This window comes from Homo sapiens, chromosome 4 (genome assembly GCF_000001405.40).
Source record: "Homo sapiens chromosome 4, GRCh38.p14 Primary Assembly".
In the NCBI taxonomy this organism is placed as follows: domain Eukaryota; kingdom Metazoa; phylum Chordata; class Mammalia; order Primates; family Hominidae; genus Homo; species Homo sapiens.
In genome coordinates, this window is record NC_000004.12 from 185,573,411 (window position 1) to 185,594,736 (window position 21,326).

A 21,326-nucleotide genomic window follows, 5' to 3' on the forward strand; every position below is an offset into this window, starting at 1 on the left:
CTGTGCTTCAGAAAAGGAATGACATAAGCTATTGTCCTGAGAAATAATCTCTAGAACCCTCTGTCAAATTAATCACTGAGCATAAGGGGCTCTATTCAGAGAGGTGTTTTTATAAAGCCAAGGAGACCCTGCATACCTGGCTGGAGAGGGAGGAAGGGATTGAGGACAGAGTGGAAGTAAGGAAAGGCCTGGCCAGCTTCTGGTCCTGGGGATGGCAGGAAGATGGAAAAGGAGAGGAAGGGCACACAGTAAGGTTCCCTTTGACTTCCTGTCTGGAGGCTGTGCTTCAAGGTGAGTTACTCCAAGAGCAGTCTGCACCTCAGGCACATCACAGCGAGCTGGGCAGCCGGGGTGGTCAGGCAGAAAGAGGGCTCTGGGGCTCAGCATTCTGGGGTGCCCTCGACCTTTACAGGATAGGGATGCAGCGTTGAGAAGCCAAGGATCCACAGCGTGCACAGAGTGGTGAGGGGAGCTGACCGCACAGCAGAGCCTGGATGCGAGGCTGGGCCAGAGGCTGGAGGAAGGGCATGGCAGATATTCCGGAGTCTGTAGCCTGCGGGAGCTGACTGGCTGAGTCAGCAGGAAGTGATAATCCTGCCCAGACCCAAAGAGATCAGATTACCAGTGACACCAGCCTCAGGTTTCAGCTTTGAAGGCCAGGAAACACCCAGGGAACAGGGACACAGCCCTGGAGACCAGAAGAGGTAGAGGACATCATGCCCAACAGCCCAGGTTTTCCCACCACCATAAGATGTTAACTGCTCCCACTCACCGGGGAACTATCCTGGGAAGGAAGCGGAGGAGGGGAGACTATTCGGAGAGACCAGGCATTTTTATCCTGATGAGTGATTTTTTCCTAATAGACTGCTGCCATCTTTGGAACGGATTACACTAAAAAGGATTAGACATTTGGTTAATTTTATCTCTCTCTATAAATTTCAGTTATATATAATATATATACACACATATGCTATATATTTATATTTATCATATATAGAAGAAATTGCATATTTTAGACTGATATGTGTGTAAATTATTTAACTTCACTACAAGATTTTTGTTATATTAAAAGAAATACATCTTAGTTGTAAAATGTTTGAAAAATAAAAGTATCCATAAATCACTGAAGATATGACCATAGTCAACATTTTTGTGAATAATTTTTACATCTTATTCCAGTGTATATGGATTTATTAAATAGAACCTTAAGAAATTTCTGAGATTGTACTGTTTCTGACTTATAAAATTAGAGATTTCATGGAGTCAACCTAATACATCTGGTCTAGGGGCACACACACATGCACACGTACACATACATGTACATCTATGTTCTAGGTGCATATGTATAGCTGTAAAAATAGATATTCTTCCCTTCAAAAATGAGATTATACTGTTTTATAACTTTTTTTAAAAATTTAGCAATGTGTTGTGAACATCTTTATACATCATTAAATATTTTTCCAGGAGGTCCTTTTTAAGTGATTACATGGTATTTCACAGCAAAAAGTGCCACAATGTGTTTATTAGATAAATATATCTAAATACCTGTTGTTAGATATTTAGATTTCTAATAATTATTTGATGTCATGAATAACATGGTAATACATAAACTTACAGCTAAATATTTGAACACATTGAGAATTTTTTTTAGAATAAATATATAGAAATGACATTGCTAGAACAATGGATACACAGTATTTTGAAGTTTTTTTTTTAACTTTTATTTTCGGTTAATGGGTACATGTTCAGGTTTGTTATATAGGTAAACTGAGTGTCTTGGGGGTTTGGTGTACAGATTATTTTGTCACACAGGTAATAAGCATACACCGTAGGTAGTTTCTTGTATTTTAAAGTTGATTTATCAATTTACATTCTCTTAACACTATACTGAGACAAATCTTCAATTGGCTGCCAACTTGCTAGGTGAAAAACTGTAACTGATTTTACTTTTGGTTCCTGGGATTGAATAATTATTCCTGTACTTAATAGTTCTATGTTTTCTTTATCTTTATCTTTGTCTTTTTTTTTTTTTTTAATGATCGTTTCATGGCGTTTGTTTTGTGCTGAGCTCCATATTGAACCTGCCTATATGTGCTGAGCTCCATATTGAACCTGCCTATATGGGAAGCTGAGCTCACAGTCTGGCCCCTCATCACGATCTCTCAGGCAGATTTCTAGCCTCAAAACCTTCTGCTTCTTTGAAATCCATATTCAATTTGTCATTCAGTCTGCTGCTACTTTTACTGAACTATTATTTCATGGACAGTTGAGAAATGGAAAGATCTTGATGATTAGTTGATTTTCTTCATTTCACCAACAAGGATATTGACATCGGGCCATGCTAGTAACTTTCTCAGTGTCACGGGTCATATGAGGGTCTAGTGCTGGAATCTGGGCTCCTGGTCTGGTTGTGTATCTGTCACCTCTCGTCCTGGGATGGTTCCTCAGGCCTGGTCTCTGTCAGGGAGCCATCCAAATAAATGCTGGCTGGTCGTGCTTTACCCAAGTTTTCTGCTCTGTTGCTTTTCTATTTGTGGCTTCTGTGTGTGAGATTTTTTTTTTTTTTTTTTTTTTTTTTTTAGATGGAGTCTTGCTCTCTCGCCAGGCTGGAGTGCAGTGGCACCATCTCGGCTCACTGCAACCTCCGACTCGCTGGTTCAAGTAATTTTCCTGCCTCAGCCTCCCAAGTAGCTGGGATTACAAGCAGGTGCCACCATGCCCAGCTAATTTTTGTATTTTTAGTAGAGATGGGGTTTCACCATGTTGGCCAGGATGGTCTTGATCTCCTGACCTCGTGATCTGCCTGCCTTGGCCTCCCAAAGTGCTGGGATTACAGGAGTGAGCCACCGCGCCTGGCCCTAACTGTGTTTTTATGTCACTTCCTTCTTAAAAACTGATGAGCTTACTTCCTTCTTAAAAACTGATGAACGATTCTAATATTTGTTTTATATAATATCTGCTTTAGAAATCTCTCATTGATTTTAAACATATTTATAAATGCCACATTCTGACTGTCTTCATCAAACATCTAGCTGAGAAAACTTGGGAATGCAGCCAAGAGGACCTAACACAGGTATTCACATGCTTGGTGCCAGTGAGAATCAGCTTAAAGGGGACTTCCGAAGGCCAAAAGGCCAGGGAACTAGCCTTTTAGAGCCAACTACATGCTGGACTGTTGGTATATTTTATCTTATTTACTCCTCAGATAAATATTATGTGATATTCTTTTATTACATCATTTCACAAGCTGACCAAAGTCACGAGTACAGGCCCACTTCCTTAGGAACCTAACTGAGTCTGAGTTTGGAAAATACGCTTTTCATACCATTTACAGGAGCCGCGTTGGCAAAGCAAGGCGTTCACTCTCTGATCCTTTTTCTTTTTGTAAACTCTGACTGCCAGAACAATCTTCAAATAACATGTCATTATCAGCAGCCAAAAAGGAAGCTTGGACCCTTTTGAATTTGAAGTTTGCACAGCAGTCCTTGTTATTGCTTTCCATCTTTTCTCACTGGGAAAAAATGGCTCCCGAAATAAGAATGTTCTTCGTGACTCCATTTAGAAAATTGGTCATCTCGTCTGTGCATCACCAGTGTCGAGAACTGTGCTGTGGTTTTTAGTACAGCTGTCTAGCAATTTATCTTTGATAGTGAAAGAAATACCATGGCCATTAATCCATGAACAGATGTCTGCTAAGCTTTTTGTCATATCATCTGACAGCTGACCAAAGCCATAAGTGTGTGTGTGGAAGGATGTCGGGTGGGTGGGAGGCCTGGACAGCACTCAGCTCTCAGAGTTCATAAACATTTTGAGATTTCTCCATTAGCAGGGAGAAGGAGACAAAGAGTGAGGGAGAGAGAGGGAAAAAAATATTTTAGAGACCTCATTATAAATACTTGGAACAAATAATATCAGTGTTTTTCCTAGGGAACAGGCCAAAGATAGACTTACTAGTTTCAACTCATTTCTGTCTGCCAGCCACCAAATTTCTTTGCTGAAGGGTTAGGGTGGAAAATGCCGGTAATTCTAAGGGGAAGCCTGTGCTATCAGCAACTCTGACAAGCTAACAACTGGTTAGTTTGTATAGGAGCAGCCTCTGAGGGGGACATTCTTATTGAAAAAGTGAGCAAGTCTCATGCTCCCGGTCTGGTCTATGGTACCTATCAGGTTCAGAATATCTTGATGCTTGTGTGTGACTTCTTTTGTTTTAAATGAAACACACTGTATTAAGATAGAGTCACCAAGATGAGCCCAGAGGAATTATCAAAGTCATATCTTGCTGTGTGAACAGCTTTGTGTCCCAGCCCCCAGAGGGCTTTAGTTGAGATGTTGGTGGCATTCGGTCAGGAATTGTCAAGTCTGAGCGCTTTGAATGCCAAGCTTGAGCGGAATTTTGATCTTGATATCCTGTTCCTTGTATCAAAGCTCTTCTGTTAAGAAAAAAAGTGGCCCTGGTTCAAATATGGGCTAATGTCACTGAGGAGGGGCAGAAAAAAGTGTTACTGGTTGGCATTGCATTATAGACCTAATATGATTAATATTTGTAATCCGACAATCTAATTTTCAGACCCATTTCACTTGGTTTGATTAAAGAATTGTCAGGGAATCATTAGAAAATGTATACCAGTTCCTTGTATTTTGTCCAAGGAGATTTTTCTGGGATGAGTATTATCTATAAATTCTTGTGCTTATATTTCATCATGGCCTTAACTATACTTGCACTCTGGTAAAGAACACTGATATCTCGTAATTATCTAATTAATAACTTCTGATATTATTAACTTTTTTTCTTTTTAAAGACAGGATCTTACTACGTTGCTCAGGCTGGTCTCAAACTCATCAGTCCAAGAGATCCTTCTACCTCAGCCTTTGGAGTAGCTGGGACTGCAGGCACCACCACCACACTTGGCTTCATTTTCCTTTAACATTTTAACATACAACATATATGAGTATTTACTTACTGAGTGGCAAACACTGTTGACTGAATGTTTCAATGTCTCCTCTGTCCCTTGTGGAAGGAAAACTCGCAGGCTGCTGACAGTTCCTTTGAAGCCTCAGTGTGCATTTGAGATGGCTTCTTAAAGCCAATGATTGAGAACGTATGATGAAACAAGGTAGATCAAATAGTCTGGTCTTATGGAACCAGGAGCCAGCTAGAGAGCTCGAGAGAGTCTGATTGCCTGAGGCATCCTCTGAGAGCTCTAGATATCCATTTCTTGTTTCTTTTTTGCCTCTTCAGCTCACTTTCCAAGTTGTGCAATTATAACTTGGAAACGTGCTGTGCCTTTTATTGAGGGTGTTGCCCCCATGGAAGCAGCCCTTGCAAGGCTATGGACCAAGTATTTGTGTCCCCTCCAATTCATTTGTTAAATCCTGGTCCCCACAGTGCTGCTATTGGGATGTGGGGTCTTTGGGAGGTGATTGTGTTATGAGAGCAAGGCCCTCATGAATGGGGTTAGTGCCCTTATGAAAGAGGTTCCAGAGAGTTCCCTTCTCTTTCTACCATGTGAGAACACAGAAAAAGAAGGCTCTTTTCTTTCTATTCTTTTTTTAAATTATTTTTTATTTTATGAGACAGGGTCTTGCTCAGTGTCACCTGGGCTGGAGTGCAGTGGCATGATCATAGCTCACTGCACCCTAGACCTCCTGGGCTCAAGCAATTCTCCTGCCTCAGGCTCCTGAGTAGCTGGGACTACAGGTATGTGTCATTATGCCTGGCTGATTTATTTTTATTTTTATTTTTTAGTGGAGATGGTCTCACTGTTTTGCCTAGGCTGCTTTTGAACTCCTGAGCTCAAGTGATCCTCCTGCCTTGGCCTCCCAAAGTGCTTGGATTACAGATGTGAGCTACCACATGCAGCCAAGAAGAAGGCTTTCTCTGAGGAAGTGGGTTCTCACCAGGCATCAAATCTGCTCGTGCCTTGATCTTGGACTTCACAGCCTCCAGAATTGTGAGAGATAAATGTCTGCTGTTTATAAGCCACCTGCAGACATGAGAGGCAGTAGGGAAAGTTAAGATCAGAGTTAGGGATTCCTTACCTTGTAGAGGGCCATTGCTATCCCTCTGACTCAGATAGAGCTTCTGCAGCAGGGTAGATTAATGGTAGATTCCTAGTCTATCCAAGTGTGTGCATAATGAACAATGAGTGAAAAGAGATTGCTAAATATTTACGCCCTGGGAACATATAATTTTTTCCTGCATTACTGAATATACCACTGACTGTTTTGGCTAGGGTGCTCTCTGTGTGTCTGTGTGTGTGTAGGGAAGGGGTGTCTTTGTGAAGCTATAAGCTGAACTACTCAACAGTTATCACCTATTATATCTTGTTTTTATGCAAATCCCAAATTGAGTATGGAGCTGGGGGAAGGGGGCATTTCAGTTGTCACCCTCTGGAACAAGATAGATCCTCTGCATTGATCATCCACTAGGAACCAGGGAGCAGAGAAGTGGGTGGAAGCGAGTGTCCCTGAGAGAAGGCCTGTACTAGTCTGCGTGGGCTGCCATAACCAGGTACCAGAGACTGGGGGGCTCAAACGATGGACATTTATTTTCTTCCTGTTCTGGAGGCTAGGAATTGGAGTTCAAGGTATCGCAGGGTTGGTGTATGGGAAGCCTCTCTCCTTAGGTATAGATGGCTGCTTTCTTTGTGTCTTCACATGGTTCCCTCTGTACACTTCTGTGTCCTAATCACTTCTTCTTCTTCTTCTTCTGTTTTTTTTTTTGAGACGGAGTCTTGCTCTGTCGCCCAGGCTGGAGTGCAGTGGCACAATCTTGGTTCATTGCAAGCTCCATCTCCTGGGTTCAAGAGATTCCCCTGCCTCAGCCTCCTGAATAGCTAGGACTACAGGCACCCGCCACCACGCCCAGCTAATTTTTGTATTTTTAGTAGAGACGGGGTTTCACCGCCTTAGCCGGGATGGTCTTGATCTCCTGACCTCGTGATCCGCCCGCCTCAGCCTCCCAAAGTGCTGGAATTACAGGCATGAGCCACTGCGCCTGGCCCAATCACTTCTTTTTATAAGGATTCCAGTTATATTAGATTAGAGCCCACTCAGATGACCTCATTTTACCTTAATTACCTTTTTAAATGCCCTATTCCAAATACATTCTGAGGTTCTGGGGTTTAGAACTCAATGTATGAACTTAAGGGGATGGGGACACAATTCAGCCCCTAACAAGGACTGACCCCTGGTTTTGTGTTTAAACACATGGTTACTATTAGTATGGACTAGAGATGAGAATACGCCCATCTTTTCTTCACTAGGGACATGGGCATCACTCACATTGCAGACGATGTGGGTGATTAGAGGGCACAATGGGATTCCCCGAGCAAAGCCTGATGGCGCAGCCTCACCGAGGCTCCCACTCTGAGCCCAGGCTGGCCTCGTCATCGGTGCCCTGAAGTCTGCGTACCTTCTGGAAAGCAAAGGAATCTTTCTACCCTACCCACGTGGCCTGCGACAGCTCACTAATAACTGAGCTTGCTTTGCTTCACACACCTGGCTTTTGCTGATGACATCATCGCCTCTGAGATCATCCGGGAGGGAATGGCCTCCCTGCTCTGGGCTGATCTGAGCCTCAGTAGAGATATTTTTACAATGACTGCTTTGCCCAGAGACATTCTACAGAGATCCTTGTTTATCTCTAGGCACTCGTCTACCTTGTGCTTCAGTCCACCTCAGGGATTGTTTGACTCCTTCCTAGGTGCATTCTGGCTTTATCTCCAGAGTTTGGGAGGAGAAACTGCTTTCTACAAAGGGCCTAGATCTGACAGTCATAGGGCAGAAGATGAGACCATTAGGACTGTGACTCTCAGCCTTTTAATTCCGGATTAAAAAAAAAATCCTTTACAATGATTTACAAGATGATTCTCCTAAGTAGTATGAGTTACCCTAGGGCAGGGCTTCTGACCTCAACACTATAGGCAATTTGGGCTGGATAATTCTTAGTTGTGAGGGCTGGCCTGTGTATTGTGGGTCCAGCAGTGTCTCTGGTCTCTATGCACTAGATACCAGTAGCACCCCTGAGAAGTGCTTGTATATTGCCAAATGTCCCCTGGAGGAGTGACAAAGTCACCCACAGGGAAGAAGCCCTGCGCTAGTACATTATAAAAATATGTTCAATCTAACTTTTTTGAACTATGTCTAATTTCAAAGTAAATGATCTGTTCCATCAATTTTGATTCAAAAAATTGAAACAAACCTCCAGGATGGTTTGGATGTTACATCCAACTGCAATCCACACATTCATTTCTCAGTTTAATCTCTCTCTTCCTTTAGCCATCCCTTCACTGTACAGGTGCTTTTAAAACCTGTGATGGCCTATAGTAGGAAGATTATAAGTATTATTTTCTTTTCTCTCTTCATTTCGCCTTTCCTTCCTCTACCAATTCCTCAGATTACAATAGATTTTCTAACCTGGTGGTAATTTTGTAATTCTTGCTTTGAGGTTTTGAGTTCATTGTATTTTCATGAATCCTGAGGATTGACTTAGACTTTTTCTCCTTTTTTTCATAGACCTCGCTAATGTCAAATTGACTTGAAAACATGATTTATTCACTTTATTTCAGAGTCCTGCTCAAAGGTAAGTGCAGATTATAAAACAGTATGTTCAGGCCAGGCGCAGTGGCTCATGCCTGCAATCCCAGCACTTTGGGAGGCCAAGGCGGTTGGATCACCTGACGTCAGGAGTTCAAGAGCAGCCTGGCCAACATGGAGAAACCCTGTCTCTACTAGCAATACAGAAATTAGCTGGGCGCAGTGGCTTTTACCTGTAATCCCAGCTACTTGGGAGGTTGAGGCAGGAGAATCGCTTGAACCTTGGAGTCGGAGGTTGCAGTGAGCCGAAATCGCACCCCTGCACTCCAGCCTGGGTGACAGAGTGAGACGCTGAAAAAAAAAAACAAAAAACTACCCAGTATGTTCAGTGTGATCCCATTTTTCCCTACACTGCCCACTGCCCCCAACAAATCCACATGTATAGAGAAACACTCAGGAGAATATGTTCCACACTCAAATCCATACCCTACATGGAACTCTTAGTGAACCTGTTTCTTCTTTTTGTTCCTTTATAGCTTTTTAATTTTTCCTACAATAAGCATCTATTGCTTGTGGAATTGAAAAAGAAAAAAAATGCTTGAAAAAATTATTCTCAAGCTCCCTGTGAAATCAGTGCAAGATTCAGCACGTACCCCCTGGTGTTGTTAATGGTAACAAGAGTTGTATTGGAAATGACACTTATTTTTGGAAGACACAGGGACAACTGAGTCACCCATAGTATTTTAGGGGAAAGAATGAAACAAGAAACCCCAAATGAACAGGTGAAGATTTACTAGGCAGATTTCTGTCTTGTACTGAACGTTTTTTGGGTCAAGATTATATGCATGTGCATGAGCTCAGATGGAACTGTCCTGACCTGTGGAGGGGCTGAATTTAGCAGTGAGCTCAGGCTCAGGTCACTTAGAGTCATCCAGCAGAAAATGGCTGGTGTATCTTGGGGCTTTGTATGCTTAAGAGCTGTCCGGCAAGCACGCAGCATTCCTAGAGCACGCTGGGCTCGCCTGTCTCCCATTGATTCAACTCACAGACAGGCTTGTGCTCAGTCAAAACATGTCAGTCATTGAAAGTATATTCTCACTGGTTAGTGTCCTTTTAGAAACCAAACTCAGCTTTCTTCAGGGAAACAATTTGTGCTGATGGGTACACCTCTTTCTCTTCATCCTGTGCACAGTAAGATGCTGCTATGAGGGGGTGTCTGTTCATGTCAGCCCTGCTTGTGAGAATGGTGGAGAGGGAAGGAGGTGGATGGGTGCAGCTGCTCAACCCTGAGTGCACAGCTTCATCCACAATGTGTTTAGCACCAAGCTTACATGGTTTGGAAGAAAGATGACAGGCTTGGGAGATAGACACGTGAGATTCTCAATCCGATTTCAATCAAATATTATGTATAATACCTTACATGTCTGGATAAGTTATTTAACTTCCCAGAGCCTCAGCTCCCTCATCTCTAAAATGGGCACAAAGCAGACTTCCTGTCAGATTTCTTGTGAGCATAAAGATAAGGAACGCATGTGAGGAACAGCCTGGTGTACAGCAGGTGTTCGCTATTTCTTTCCCTCGGGTCAGTTTCCAGTTTCCAGGTGTGTTGCTACCAATCGGCACAGGCAAGCGTTCACAAACGTTTCCTCTAAAGAAACAGAGAGTAAATGCTCTAGGTTTTGTGAGCTAGGAGGCAAAATTAAGGATATTATGTACGTTCTTTCTTACATAATAAAGAGAAAACACATTTCCACCAATTGTTACTGATTTAGGAATATAATAATACAAATAGAGCACAGTTTTTTTTCTAACATAGATCTACTAATGAAAAGAAAAGAACCCTTTTCTGGGGAGATAGCGTTTTACTTAACTGAGGTTCAAAGTTAGAGTTCCCTCTTATCAAGGGGATTGCCAGTGTTCATCTGTACAAACCATTCTTAATTTGCAGGCCATGCAGGAGCAGGCCGTGAGCTGAATTTTGTCCACAGGCCACAGTTTGGAAATCTCTGCTATGGACAGCTTATTAATAGCACCAATCTCTGCTTGTATTCTAACTGTAATCATTAATGGTGAGTAAATAATCTGAAATCATAAGTGATGAATGAACTGTTAGAGAGCTACCATCTGCAGAGGGGGATGAAATAATTAATTAAATAAACAGGCACTGGAAGCTGACAGGATACTTAGTCTTATTTGATCAAATAATTGTGTGTGGCTTTTTTTTTTTTTTTTTTTTTTTTGAGACAGGGTCTCTCTCTGTTGCCCAGGCTGGAGTGCAATGACGTGATCTCAGCTCACTGCAACCTCTGCTTCCTGGGTTCAAGCGATTCTCCTGCCTCGGCCTCCTGAGTATCTGGCATTACAGGCGCGCGCCACCATGCCCAGCTAATTTTCGTATTTTTAGTAGAGACCAGGTTTCACCATATTAGTTAGGCTGGCCTCGAACTCCCCACCTCAGGTGATCTGCCCGCCTCGGCCTCCCAAAGTGCTGGGATTACAGGCATAAGCCACTGCACCCGGCCGTGATCAGATAATTCTTTAAATAATATCTTTCTTTGTGGCTAAAATCTGGAAAACAGCAGGAAGAAATGATCAGGCCACACAAACCAACCACCTACTATGAGAGATCAGGCAGTGGATGATTGTGAAAAGTTACTCAAATAGGTTATTTCTGCATCGAATCAAGTAAGAAAAGGACTTGCTTGTCTTTAGTGATGATGCAGCTAAAGGAGGGATGAAGATCTGGCATGTAAGTATCAGAGGGTCCCTTCCTTCCGCCCTTCCACCCACCTGGATGGACAGGTCAGATGGATCTAGTTATATGACCCTTACACACTCAGATGAAAACAAGACCAAAAGACTATTATGGGGTATATTCTTCACCCAAAGGGATTACATTTTAGCAGAATGCTAATATAGAGTGGGAATTATCCTATGGCATAGAAGGCACCAGAGTGGGTGTTAAGGGGAAGCAACGTGACAAGACATCTTTGATAACCGAGTTGGCAAAAGAGGAATGTCCGTATTTCTGAATATTTAAGAGATAGATATGGAAAAGGGTCAAAACACATAGAGCAAGAAGGGACTAAGGTATATGAGAAAAGATCCAAGCAGGCAAGCTGGCTCTTTCCCATTTGTGTGGCAGAAAGCGGGGACCCCACCGCCACCCATCATTTGAAATTCACTGAAAGCCTGTGGACATTTGCAGAAGCTGCCGAGCCAATGGTGCTGAAGCTGCTTAGGGCAAAGATTTTAAAATTTCAGAGTGTTGAACTGGGAAAGTGCTTACAACTCCTTGTAACTAACCCCTCCTTGGAAAACTAGCTGTTTTGAGGCAGAAATATTTTACAATGTATTGTTTTAACTGAAGGGCAATTTTTAGCCAAAGAACGTTTAGCAAATGAGCTTTGGTGGTGGGTTTAAAAATATTTCTTCTCTGAGCTGATGCTGACACAGCTTTTCTCCATGTTTGTGTTAAAAGAACACACAACAAAATGCATTTTCTCTTAGTTTAACAAGTTGGAATAAAATACACAATTTTTATAAAGATAAATGTCAAGAAGAAAAACTGAAGTATACTTCCAAGCAAAATTTATTAGATGTCTATTCAAGAAAAACACAATGACCTTTGCTTGTAAGAATTCAAAGTCAATTACCTGGAAGCCAGGTATGAATAGTTTTTTCTTTTAAAATCAGATACAGAGAGTAGAAACAGTAATTTTTCTTAAATATGACAGGCAACAGATATTGAAGTCTTTTCTCATAAATGGCATCAAAGAGAATTATTCATTTATCAGCAAAGCTGCATGCAGTTGACTTAATTTCAAACCTGAAGCCTTTAAAATATGAAGCTGGTTATGAACTTGACAGAAATCAAGGTAGGCTACTCAACGATGTTTCTTTACCTTCTTCCTAATGAAATTCCCTTGTCATCAGTCAGTAGATATGTACATTTCATTTGGCTTCTACGATCTTTTAACTTCATAGATTTTTGCATAAATGCTATCTGACAGAATCACACTATCTAGGGGTGCTTGTGATCTGTGAGATAAGGAGAGGCTAGTCTGCTGAAAGTGTTGTCGCAGGATAAAGACCAAATTAGGAAACGCCCCTGTTTTCTCAACAACTAGTCTGTACAAAAAAAGAGCAAACATATGTACAAAATTCTAGAGGCTACGTACATTGTGAAAAGATCAATATCACTGTCCATGAAAGAGATGCCATAAAAAGTTTTATCTGTAAGGTGCTCAAGATCCAAAGATGAACAGTTCTTATGCAAAGTCATAAGAAATACAAAGCTAGTTTTCGGAGCAGGTGTAATTCAGGCACTGTGAACCATATTAAACCTTCCAGGTCCCAATATCATTTTTTAAATTTCTGCTTCAGGGCAGAAAATAAAACCTGAATGATTTAACATTGCTTCTAAAAAGTGCCTAATTTATTCCTAGGAAATATTTTACACACACCAGGAAAATCAGGCTCAACATATTCCTGTCCTCAAATGTAGCCAGGATTCTGAGTTCCATAGAAGAAAAATAATTATTATAGTAAAAATAATTGTAGTAATCCTAATCCTTGCTAAAACCAACTTTAATACTTGTGATGCTTCTGTACTCTATTTCTATAAAATAATGTGTGAGATTCTATTACATTTCCATAAAATGTACAACATATCATATGGATTATATGTTCTCATACAATCTCAAATGTGTATGTGTACACACAGTGAAATCTTACCTACTAGTATTGCTTACAGATACTTTCAGGTGTCTGTTAGAATAATTCTTTGCACCTCTCACTAACACTGCTTTTACTTACATTTTTTCAGATAAATAAAACACTAAGAGCTCATTGTTCATGATGCTGATCATTACATTTTAATATAAAATAGCGATGCAACTTTACAACACAATAGTTTTCCCCTGTAGCCTAGCTCAGCCTCTTGTATTGTCATGATTATTACCGAAGGCTTTTATTTACTTACTGTTTGCACTTCTAAAAAATGCAAACAAATTGCAGAAAAAGACTCCTATTTGAAAACTCACATTCAATCAGCAAAATCACACTCATCCAAATTAACTCGCCTCCTCTTGCTTTAAAGGTTGTAATCACTGTGCATATTACAACATGTATGTGCAGGCAAACAATAGCTAAAGTACAGTTACAGTTGTCATATTGTGTAAACCAAGACACTAGGCAAACTTGTGAAAAGAATACACACTGCCAAGCGAAGAATATGAAAATGCAAACCACAGCATTCCCCAATAAACAATTTTCTGGTCGTCTTGGGGGAGAACATCGCCTGGGGGGAGATGTTGAAATGGAGCCACGAGGCTGGACAGCCTCCTGGAGACACTTTTTTTTTTTTTTTTTGCCTCAAATATTTGACCATTTTTAAATATCATGATTTTTTTCTTTCTGATCCCACATTTTGACGTGTCAAAGCTTAGAGCAGGAAGTAGGAATCCACACTTTCACGGAGGGGGACCAGCCTGCCATGTCGTCCCCAGGCTCACAGCAGCGGCGGCTACTCTGCTGGTGGTTTGGTGGCAGGTGGAGATGGTGACGGCGCATTGGAAACCGTAAGGCATGACAACGGGAGGCCCGCGGGGTGTTTCAGGCGCGTTGACGCAGGTGCATGGCTGGCAGGCGGCCTCTACAGAAGGAGGGAGCGCAATTCACAGCCTCTTGACGTAGTTTCCGGGGAAAGTACCAAAGAATTTGGTTCTTCTTGAGGTCCCTGAAAATAGAAGCGAGTCATGAAAGGGGGGTGACAACGATATCAGTTCATACACATGGGCTTGAATACTTCCCATTTACAAGGCCTCGGAAGACAGCAAGCCCCGAGGGGTTTGGAAAAGAAGGCAGGCAACTCACATGAAGCCCATAGGCAGACAAAATAAGCAGTGTTAGCTGGTTGCCTGACGCTCTCACTGCCCCTCCGGCATAAATGCTGCGCTGCCATCGCGGCAGGCTAAACAGAAATGCTGAGCCTCCCAAGCTAAAGGGAAAGTCAGCCCTGCTGAGGAGGGGGGCGGAGGAGCTCAGTCACTGAGGCTGCCACACCAGAGTCGGGGGTGAGGGATCAAGGCGAGGCTGACAGGTGACAGGGTGAGTGGAAAATCCTAAGAGCAAAGCTTCTCAGGGACCAGCAACCCGCGCAACACAGGTGCGACATGAAGACATCATCTGTGGCAGGCTGTCGCTGTTCCAACAGTTTTATCATCTTACAGAAGATCATGGTCAGTGCCACATCATTTATTTAAAAACAGCACTGCCAGAGTCCTTCATCGAGTATACAATTTTTCAACAATTTACAAATCATTAATGAAAAAAAGGATTAAGCACTATTTGTGTGTGGGAGTTCTATCAGTGGCATGATTTTTAACATGGTGTGTGTTTAACCACACGCACAAATGGCTATCATAATTATGTTCGCCTCTGGTTTCAAATAATGTAATTCCTTGGACACTTCTTGTAAAAGTTGGTGCACTAAATTGCTAAATTCTTCTTTAGGCAGCGCAGATGGACCGGATAAGGGTCTCTCAAGCTTCATCTGTCTCCTATATCCTGGCACTTACTGCCTTGGTTTGATGGCTGTTTTTCTTTTTCCTTGGCTAGGCAAGCCATTTTACGTTTCTCCTCCCTCCTCCTCCTCCCTCCTCCTCCTCCTCCTTGTTTTTGAGATGGAGTTTCGCTCTTGTCGCCCAGGCTGGAGTGCAGTGGCATGATCTCGGCTCACTGCAACCTCTGCCTCTTGGGTTCAAGCAATTCTCCTGCCTTAGCCTCCTGAGTGGCTGGGATTACAGGCACCTGCCACCAAGCCCAGCTGATTATTGTACTTTTGGTAGATACGGGGTTTCACCATGTTGACCAGGCTGGCCTCGAACTCCTGGCCTCAGGTAATCCACCCGCCTCGGCCTCCCAAAGTGCTAGAATTACAGGCATGAGCCACCGCACCCGGCCTTTTTTTCTTCTTTTAATGGAAATAAAATCAGAGGCTTGTGGCCGCACCAGGGCCTCAATTCTTTCATGATTTTGCCACCGATGGATGTCTAGAGTGAGCCCTCCTCTCCTCTCACCTTTCCTCTCTTCCATTCTCTGCCCTGCAGCCTGTGTTTCCTTTTCACCTCTTTCTGTGGCCCAGTGTAAAATACTTTTGTCTACAAATGTTTTCCCAGAAGACCTCTCGTCTTTTTTTTTAGGATGGTAAAGATGAAGTTGCCTTTTAAGTGGGAAGAATGGAACGTCTCTCTGCTTCCACCACAAACTAAAGTTAAGGTGAGTCACTGAATGTTCGGGCATCTACGTCAGACCTAGGAAACGGGAGAGCTGTTCACTTAATCTCACTCCCTCTGAAATTAGATTCTCACTGTGGACAACTAACATTTTCCACAGCACAGAGCGTTGATATTTCTCTTCTGGGGACCATTTGTTGTTGTTGTTCTTAGATCTCAATCTTTCCTGGTTTTTGCTATTTAAAGAAATTGTCTTCTCTCAGTTGAGTTGGAAATAAAGCTCGCAGAAAATCACACATAGCTGAAGCAGTGAATACTAAACTATATTAAAAATGCAATAGCCTTGGGATTACATTGTGCATATGAATGTCTGAAAGATCAAAGGCATTACGAATTCAAAGGAAGCTCGGCCATCACAGCAAACCACGGGAGTGAGCAAACTCAAGCAAATTACAAAATAGCCGAAGGTGCCTGAGGAAGAAGCGCACATACCCACAAACCAGCCGTCATCACACTTTTCCATGACATCAATGACATCACTTTCTCTGAGCTCCAGCTCATCTTCATTCCTGGGAGTATAGTTATACAGAGCCTGAAACCTTAAACAGGACAAGGGAATGTGTTTAAAAACATCTTGACACCTTCATGAAATATAGAAGATAGAACAATATTCATTCTTCCTTTAACATTCCTATTCTTAACAACATTCTGTTGGGTGGTACAAGCCTGGTAAGCATGTAAATAGCATTCTATTGGATGGTACAAGCCTGGTAAGCAGGTACATAGCAATATGTAGATCTTCACAGGCATTAGAACACTCTAACAACATTTTGAAACTCACGAGGAATATCCATGAAAATTGTAACATTCATAAATTGGATTAAAATATGTCAACATGTATAAGTCAGACCCGCATTTCAGTTGTCCAGCCATCTAACGTCTATCATTTAGACATTAAATAATAGTACAAAATATAAAATAAGTGATATTTGTATTATTTAACTGTTTAAAAACAAGAAGGAATCACAATTTTAGCTAGCCATAATCAGAAGCAAATAATGGGGGCTTGAGAATTGAATTTTCAAAGGTTCTAAATGGAGATAGACAAAATGTGTCAGACATGTCTTTTTAATCACTCTGTGTGAATTACTATACAAAGGAAAATTATTTTTTTTACTAAGAGGAATTCTTTAGATCAGTTTAATGTTATGGTTTGGATCAGTGTTTTCTGAGGATGTAGAATTGGAAGATTTGATGTAATTAGCCTATGAAGTTGAGTAGATGTATTCTATGTGCAGTTATTACTGATTCCATTTCAAGCAGACTATGGACATAAGTCTCTTTTTAAAATGAGTCCCAGAAAAATTGTATTTGATTTTAAAACTCTCTCTTGAAATAATTTTATATAAAAAAGAATTATTGATAGAATGCTATCACTTTCCTTTCCCGGCCTGAATTCTTTGACAGCATATACTGTGGTGGAAATTGATCAATAATGAATTCAGACACTGAATTTGTGGTAAGAAAACACCATACATTATAATAAATAGTAACATGGGCTGGTGTTTTTGGAAAATGAAGGCGAAATTACTGTAGCTGAGAAGGTCAAGAAGAATTTGATAGGCAGTTAACATGAAAACTTCTTCATAATAGTACTAAAATATTACCAGTACTGTGAGGGGGTTTTTAAAAATTGGGAATTTGTTTCTGCTGCTTTCTGTAACAGTCATGTCATTCTGCTAATGTGAGAAAATAATTACCACTTTCTAGGGTATTTTAGATTTTTTCATGCCAACTTAAAAAAGTTGATAATCTTGACTACCGCTCCGGAACAAGAATGATTTATTTTTAATTACTTTATGAGTCAGAAAATAATATTTTGGTAGAACAAAACTATTCTATCATTTAAACTCAAATCTTATGTCATTAATAAGCAACAGTGACCTACTGGCTTCCCCCCGTTCATCCAGCATTTGGACTGGGGGAGCTGGATAGAGTTGGCTTCAGAGAATGCCTAACAACATCCCCTAGAAAATATTGTTTTCCCTGGCCTGGCACCAAAGCCTGAAATTTCAACATTAGAGGCTTCTTCTCCTGTTAAAACTTCATCCTTCCAGTAGACCTTACAGCCACTTATATCCTTTTGAGCATGGGCTTCTGAGGCCTTTTCTTGAGAGAGGGGTTTGTGATTATGGGGAAGGGCAGAGAAAGGCAGCTAGCATCCCAGAGTAGTGGCCAAAAAGACAGGCAGGTGTGGAATACAGAAACGTCACCTGATTTGGATGTTTGCATGTGGCCAGCTTTGCTAGGGGTAGTCCATTTATTTTGTTGCTTGTGTAAAGAATTTGATTTGGAGGCTGCTCAGGTGAAGGGGTGGTATCTTTTGTGTATCTGTGGGGAAAGTTCACGGTCCCTTTTCCAGTTTCACATTTGAGAGAGATGGTGGTTCCTGGGCTGCTGTTTTGATGGATACACACGGCATTTCTCACTTTGGGAAAACTGATTCTTTTATTGAGCTTCTCAGGCTTGAACCCTGCCCAGGCTCATCTCCACCCACTCATGGAGACCGGTTACCTAAGGCTGCAAACCTCAGCTGCTGGAAAGAATCTCAAGGTCTCAGAGCTAACGCAACAAAATTGGCACAGACTCCTGCTTCATTTTTGTCTGATGAAAGCCAGCATGTTTGTCCAAATTTATTTACCATTCTGGTTTAATTAGACCACAGAAACAAAAACAAAACAAAAGAAAACCCACGGAGTTTTATGGAAACGTAAACACACCTTCAGGAAATCCTCCTGCCTCTCCTGGCTTTCAAAGCCAGTGTTGCACAATGGGAAATGAAGACAAATCCAATGTTAAAAAATGCTGTTGTGAAAGATGTGTTGGTGAGGTGAGTGATGGTGGTGGGGTAAGGATGCCTCAAAAAGAAAGGTGTCTTTTAAACAGGAAATGCTGAGCCAGACTGGAAGCCCTCTCGATAACTTGCAACTTTTTCTAGAACATATTTCACTAAAACTCTGAATTGTAGTGACATAACATTATGTTCCTACTTTGGCTCAAAACTTATTTTTAAATGAAAGCAACTAAGCAACACCCTAAAATCCCACTAATTCAGGCTATAATCAAATATAAATTTAATAAACAATGTTTTCTAATATACAAATCAGGACTTTGAAAATGTAACATATCTTTCATTCATAAACACTTTGAAAGCTGTTTAATATAACATGTTGGTAATGCAATAAACCTAAACAGCCCTGGAATTTATTTTTTATCATGTGATCTTATCATCGTTTGGGTAAATAAGAGAACAAACAAAAGCTTTAGAATGACAAGTCGTATTTAGTGTTTTCCAGTTAAGCGATCTTTTTGTTTGTTTGTTTGTTTGAGACAGGGTCTTGCTCTGTTGCCCAGGCTGGAGTGCAGGGCCATCATCATGGCTTATTGTAGCCTTGATCTCCCTGGCCCAAGTGATCTTCCCACCTCAGCCTACTAAGCAGCTGGGACTACAGGCGCATGCCATCACACCTGACTAATTTTTTATTTTTATTTTTGTAGAGATGGTGTTTTGCTATGTTGTCCAGGCTGGTCTTGAACTCCTGGGTTTTGGCCTTCCAAAGTGCTGGGATTTCAGGCATAGTGACTGCACCTAACCTTCAGTGAGATTTCAAATGATTATCACTGCTAACCTGTTCTTTCCAAAATACAGACTTTCCCGCAACAAGAACACTTTTCTGCCTGTGCTCTGTGAGAGCCAGTCTCATCCGGAGCTGCTTTTTGCTAAGTTTCAGGTCTGTGAGGAGCAAGGAAGGACTTGATGGTGATAAAGGCACCAGGTCATATGCCAGGACCTGCCGCAAGGAGGAGGCTATTGTTAGCCTGTTCTGCTCCAGGTGAGCAGAGTGTGGGCAGTGGGTCAGGATCCCCAGTGTGTGCTCAGATATGGGGGACAAGGGGTTAGGTCCATGAATAAGCCTTCCCAGGGGTCTCACTCTCGACTCACAGTGTGGGCAGAGGCCAACAGGAAGCTGATAACTCCTGAACGTCTCTCAGGGACAAAATGGGCCCGAAAAAGAAACACACAGAGAGAATCTTCAAGACAACGTGTGACACCTTCAGGCTGATTTAACTCATGTATCAGAAAGGAGAAGGAATTTGAAAGGAAAGTTTGAAAAGGCATTTTCCTGGTGCTGTGGAAGTAATCGCATGTAACTGAATAACAGTGAGTGTTTTAATACTGCCCTTTTCAAATGACCCTTCTAAGCATGTAACTTTGGAATGATGGAATGATCGCTTTAGGTCTTTTTTACACTGAGGTCCACTTTTACCGTCTCCCAGTGGGTGTAAAAGTAAGGTTAGAACATGTTCTGTATGTCTTTGAAGCTCGCAGTTACTCGTTACACAGCCAGCAGAGCAGAGAGGGAGACAGAGTTATCCATCTTAGGAATCACTGAAGCATTGGGAAGTTTTCCTAGTGTGTCAATTAAAATCTTCTCAGAGAACTATGGGTTCTTTTAAAAATTAGTTTCTGGTCACTGTCATAAAAGATGGAGAGACTATTACAATTTCTCGTAATTTAAGAGGCCTCATGTTAGTTTGATCTTTCACGTGCAAAGCCATACATCTTACATTTTGGTACAGTTGTCCATTTTGTGGGTCAAGGTTAGTCTCAAATTTAGAAGATAAGAAGAATACTTACGGTTCCCCCCCACCTTGAATATTTTCATGAGTAAACACAGGACGCTGTGGCTGAAATGAAATGATTTTCAATGTAATCAATGTTTAAACTGGTACTAATTAAAAGATAATTTGGATAATGGCATGGTACTTTTCTTGACATTTAATATTTCCTGTTGTAAAAAACCAAGAGGAAGAAAAAAACCAAATAAAAGCTTTCTGCAGGATTAATAATTAAAATATTTAAAGGGAGCTTTAAATTAAAGCAAAATAAGCAAGGTCAAATGTTTTGAACATGTCTACAATCTAGTCTGCTCAAGCTTTAAGGAAAAGTCAGGGTTTGGTCCCATTGATTTTTCAAAGGCCAGGAATAAGGCAAGAACATAGACGGCAAACCACTAGAATAGGAAATATAGACACCTTCATACAACCTTATTCTCCAGCGTTTTCTCAAACAAGCAGAAAATAAACCACATTTAGTTTAACAGCAAAGTATCCACACTCATTCTTTCAATCTTTCCTTCACAGACAACATTTTCACATACAGCACAGAGGAAAATATCAATAGGCAGACATCCCATGCTACATTTGAATTAACATTTTCTGTTCTCAATGTGGAGAGAAAACATGCATTTTTAAAAAGAGAAAACAGAACTTTGGAATGCAACGAACAATATCCGGGTAACATGTAACATTTTACCTTAGAAGAGAAACATTGGTAGAAATTTCCAGTGCACTGAACTCTCAAAAGAGTTTCTTTTCTTTTTAAACTAAGCATCAAGACCAGTATCTGTAATAGATACTTATAATATTGGAAATGACAAGCCTTAGCATCCCATATACCCACATTAATATTTTCAGTGAATGAAAGTT

The 21,326-nt window shown here is 41.3% G+C and overlaps 1 protein-coding gene and 1 long non-coding RNA gene across 43 annotated transcripts in view, besides 2 other annotated features; one reads left to right on the top strand and one right to left on the bottom strand.

Moving 5' to 3' along the window:
- SORBS2 (sorbin and SH3 domain containing 2) overlaps nt 12,113-21,326 on the bottom strand; it is a 370,850-nt gene continuing 361,636 nt past the window's right edge. For all 42 annotated transcript variants that reach the window (NM_001394255.1, NM_001394267.1, NM_001394264.1 and 39 more), the window contains 3 exons: nt 20,476-20,525; nt 16,269-16,375; nt 12,113-14,278 (listed from right to left, as the gene is read on the bottom strand). In NM_001394255.1, coding sequence (NP_001381184.1) covers nt 14,217-14,278; nt 16,269-16,375; nt 20,476-20,525 — 219 coding nt within the window. In that variant the 3' untranslated portion in view covers nt 12,113-14,216. The remainder of the gene's footprint in view (nt 14,279-16,268; nt 16,376-20,475; nt 20,526-21,326) is intronic.
- Nucleotides 13,612-14,811: an enhancer, noted in NCBI's record as "BRD4-independent group 4 enhancer chr4:186508176-186509375 (GRCh37/hg19 assembly coordinates)". NCBI's record gives its function as "activates an origin of replication core promoter dependent on BRD2, P300/CBP, MED14 and CDK7 cofactors, and independent of BRD4, by STARR-seq in HCT116 cells {active_cell/tissue: HCT116}" and the evidence as "EXISTENCE:reporter gene assay evidence [ECO:0000049][PMID:35650434]".
- Nucleotides 14,090-14,169: an enhancer, noted in NCBI's record as "active region_22265". NCBI's record gives its function as "activates an Ori minimal core promoter by ATAC-STARR-seq in GM12878 lymphoblastoid cells {active_cell/tissue: GM12878}" and the evidence as "EXISTENCE:reporter gene assay evidence [ECO:0000049][PMID:35858748]".
- On the top strand, nt 14,515-20,593 carry SORBS2-AS1 (SORBS2 antisense RNA 1). The gene is made up of 4 exons (NR_186082.1): nt 14,515-14,780; nt 15,744-15,819; nt 18,495-18,666; nt 19,335-20,593. It is a non-coding gene; the product is annotated as an SORBS2 antisense RNA 1 (long non-coding RNA).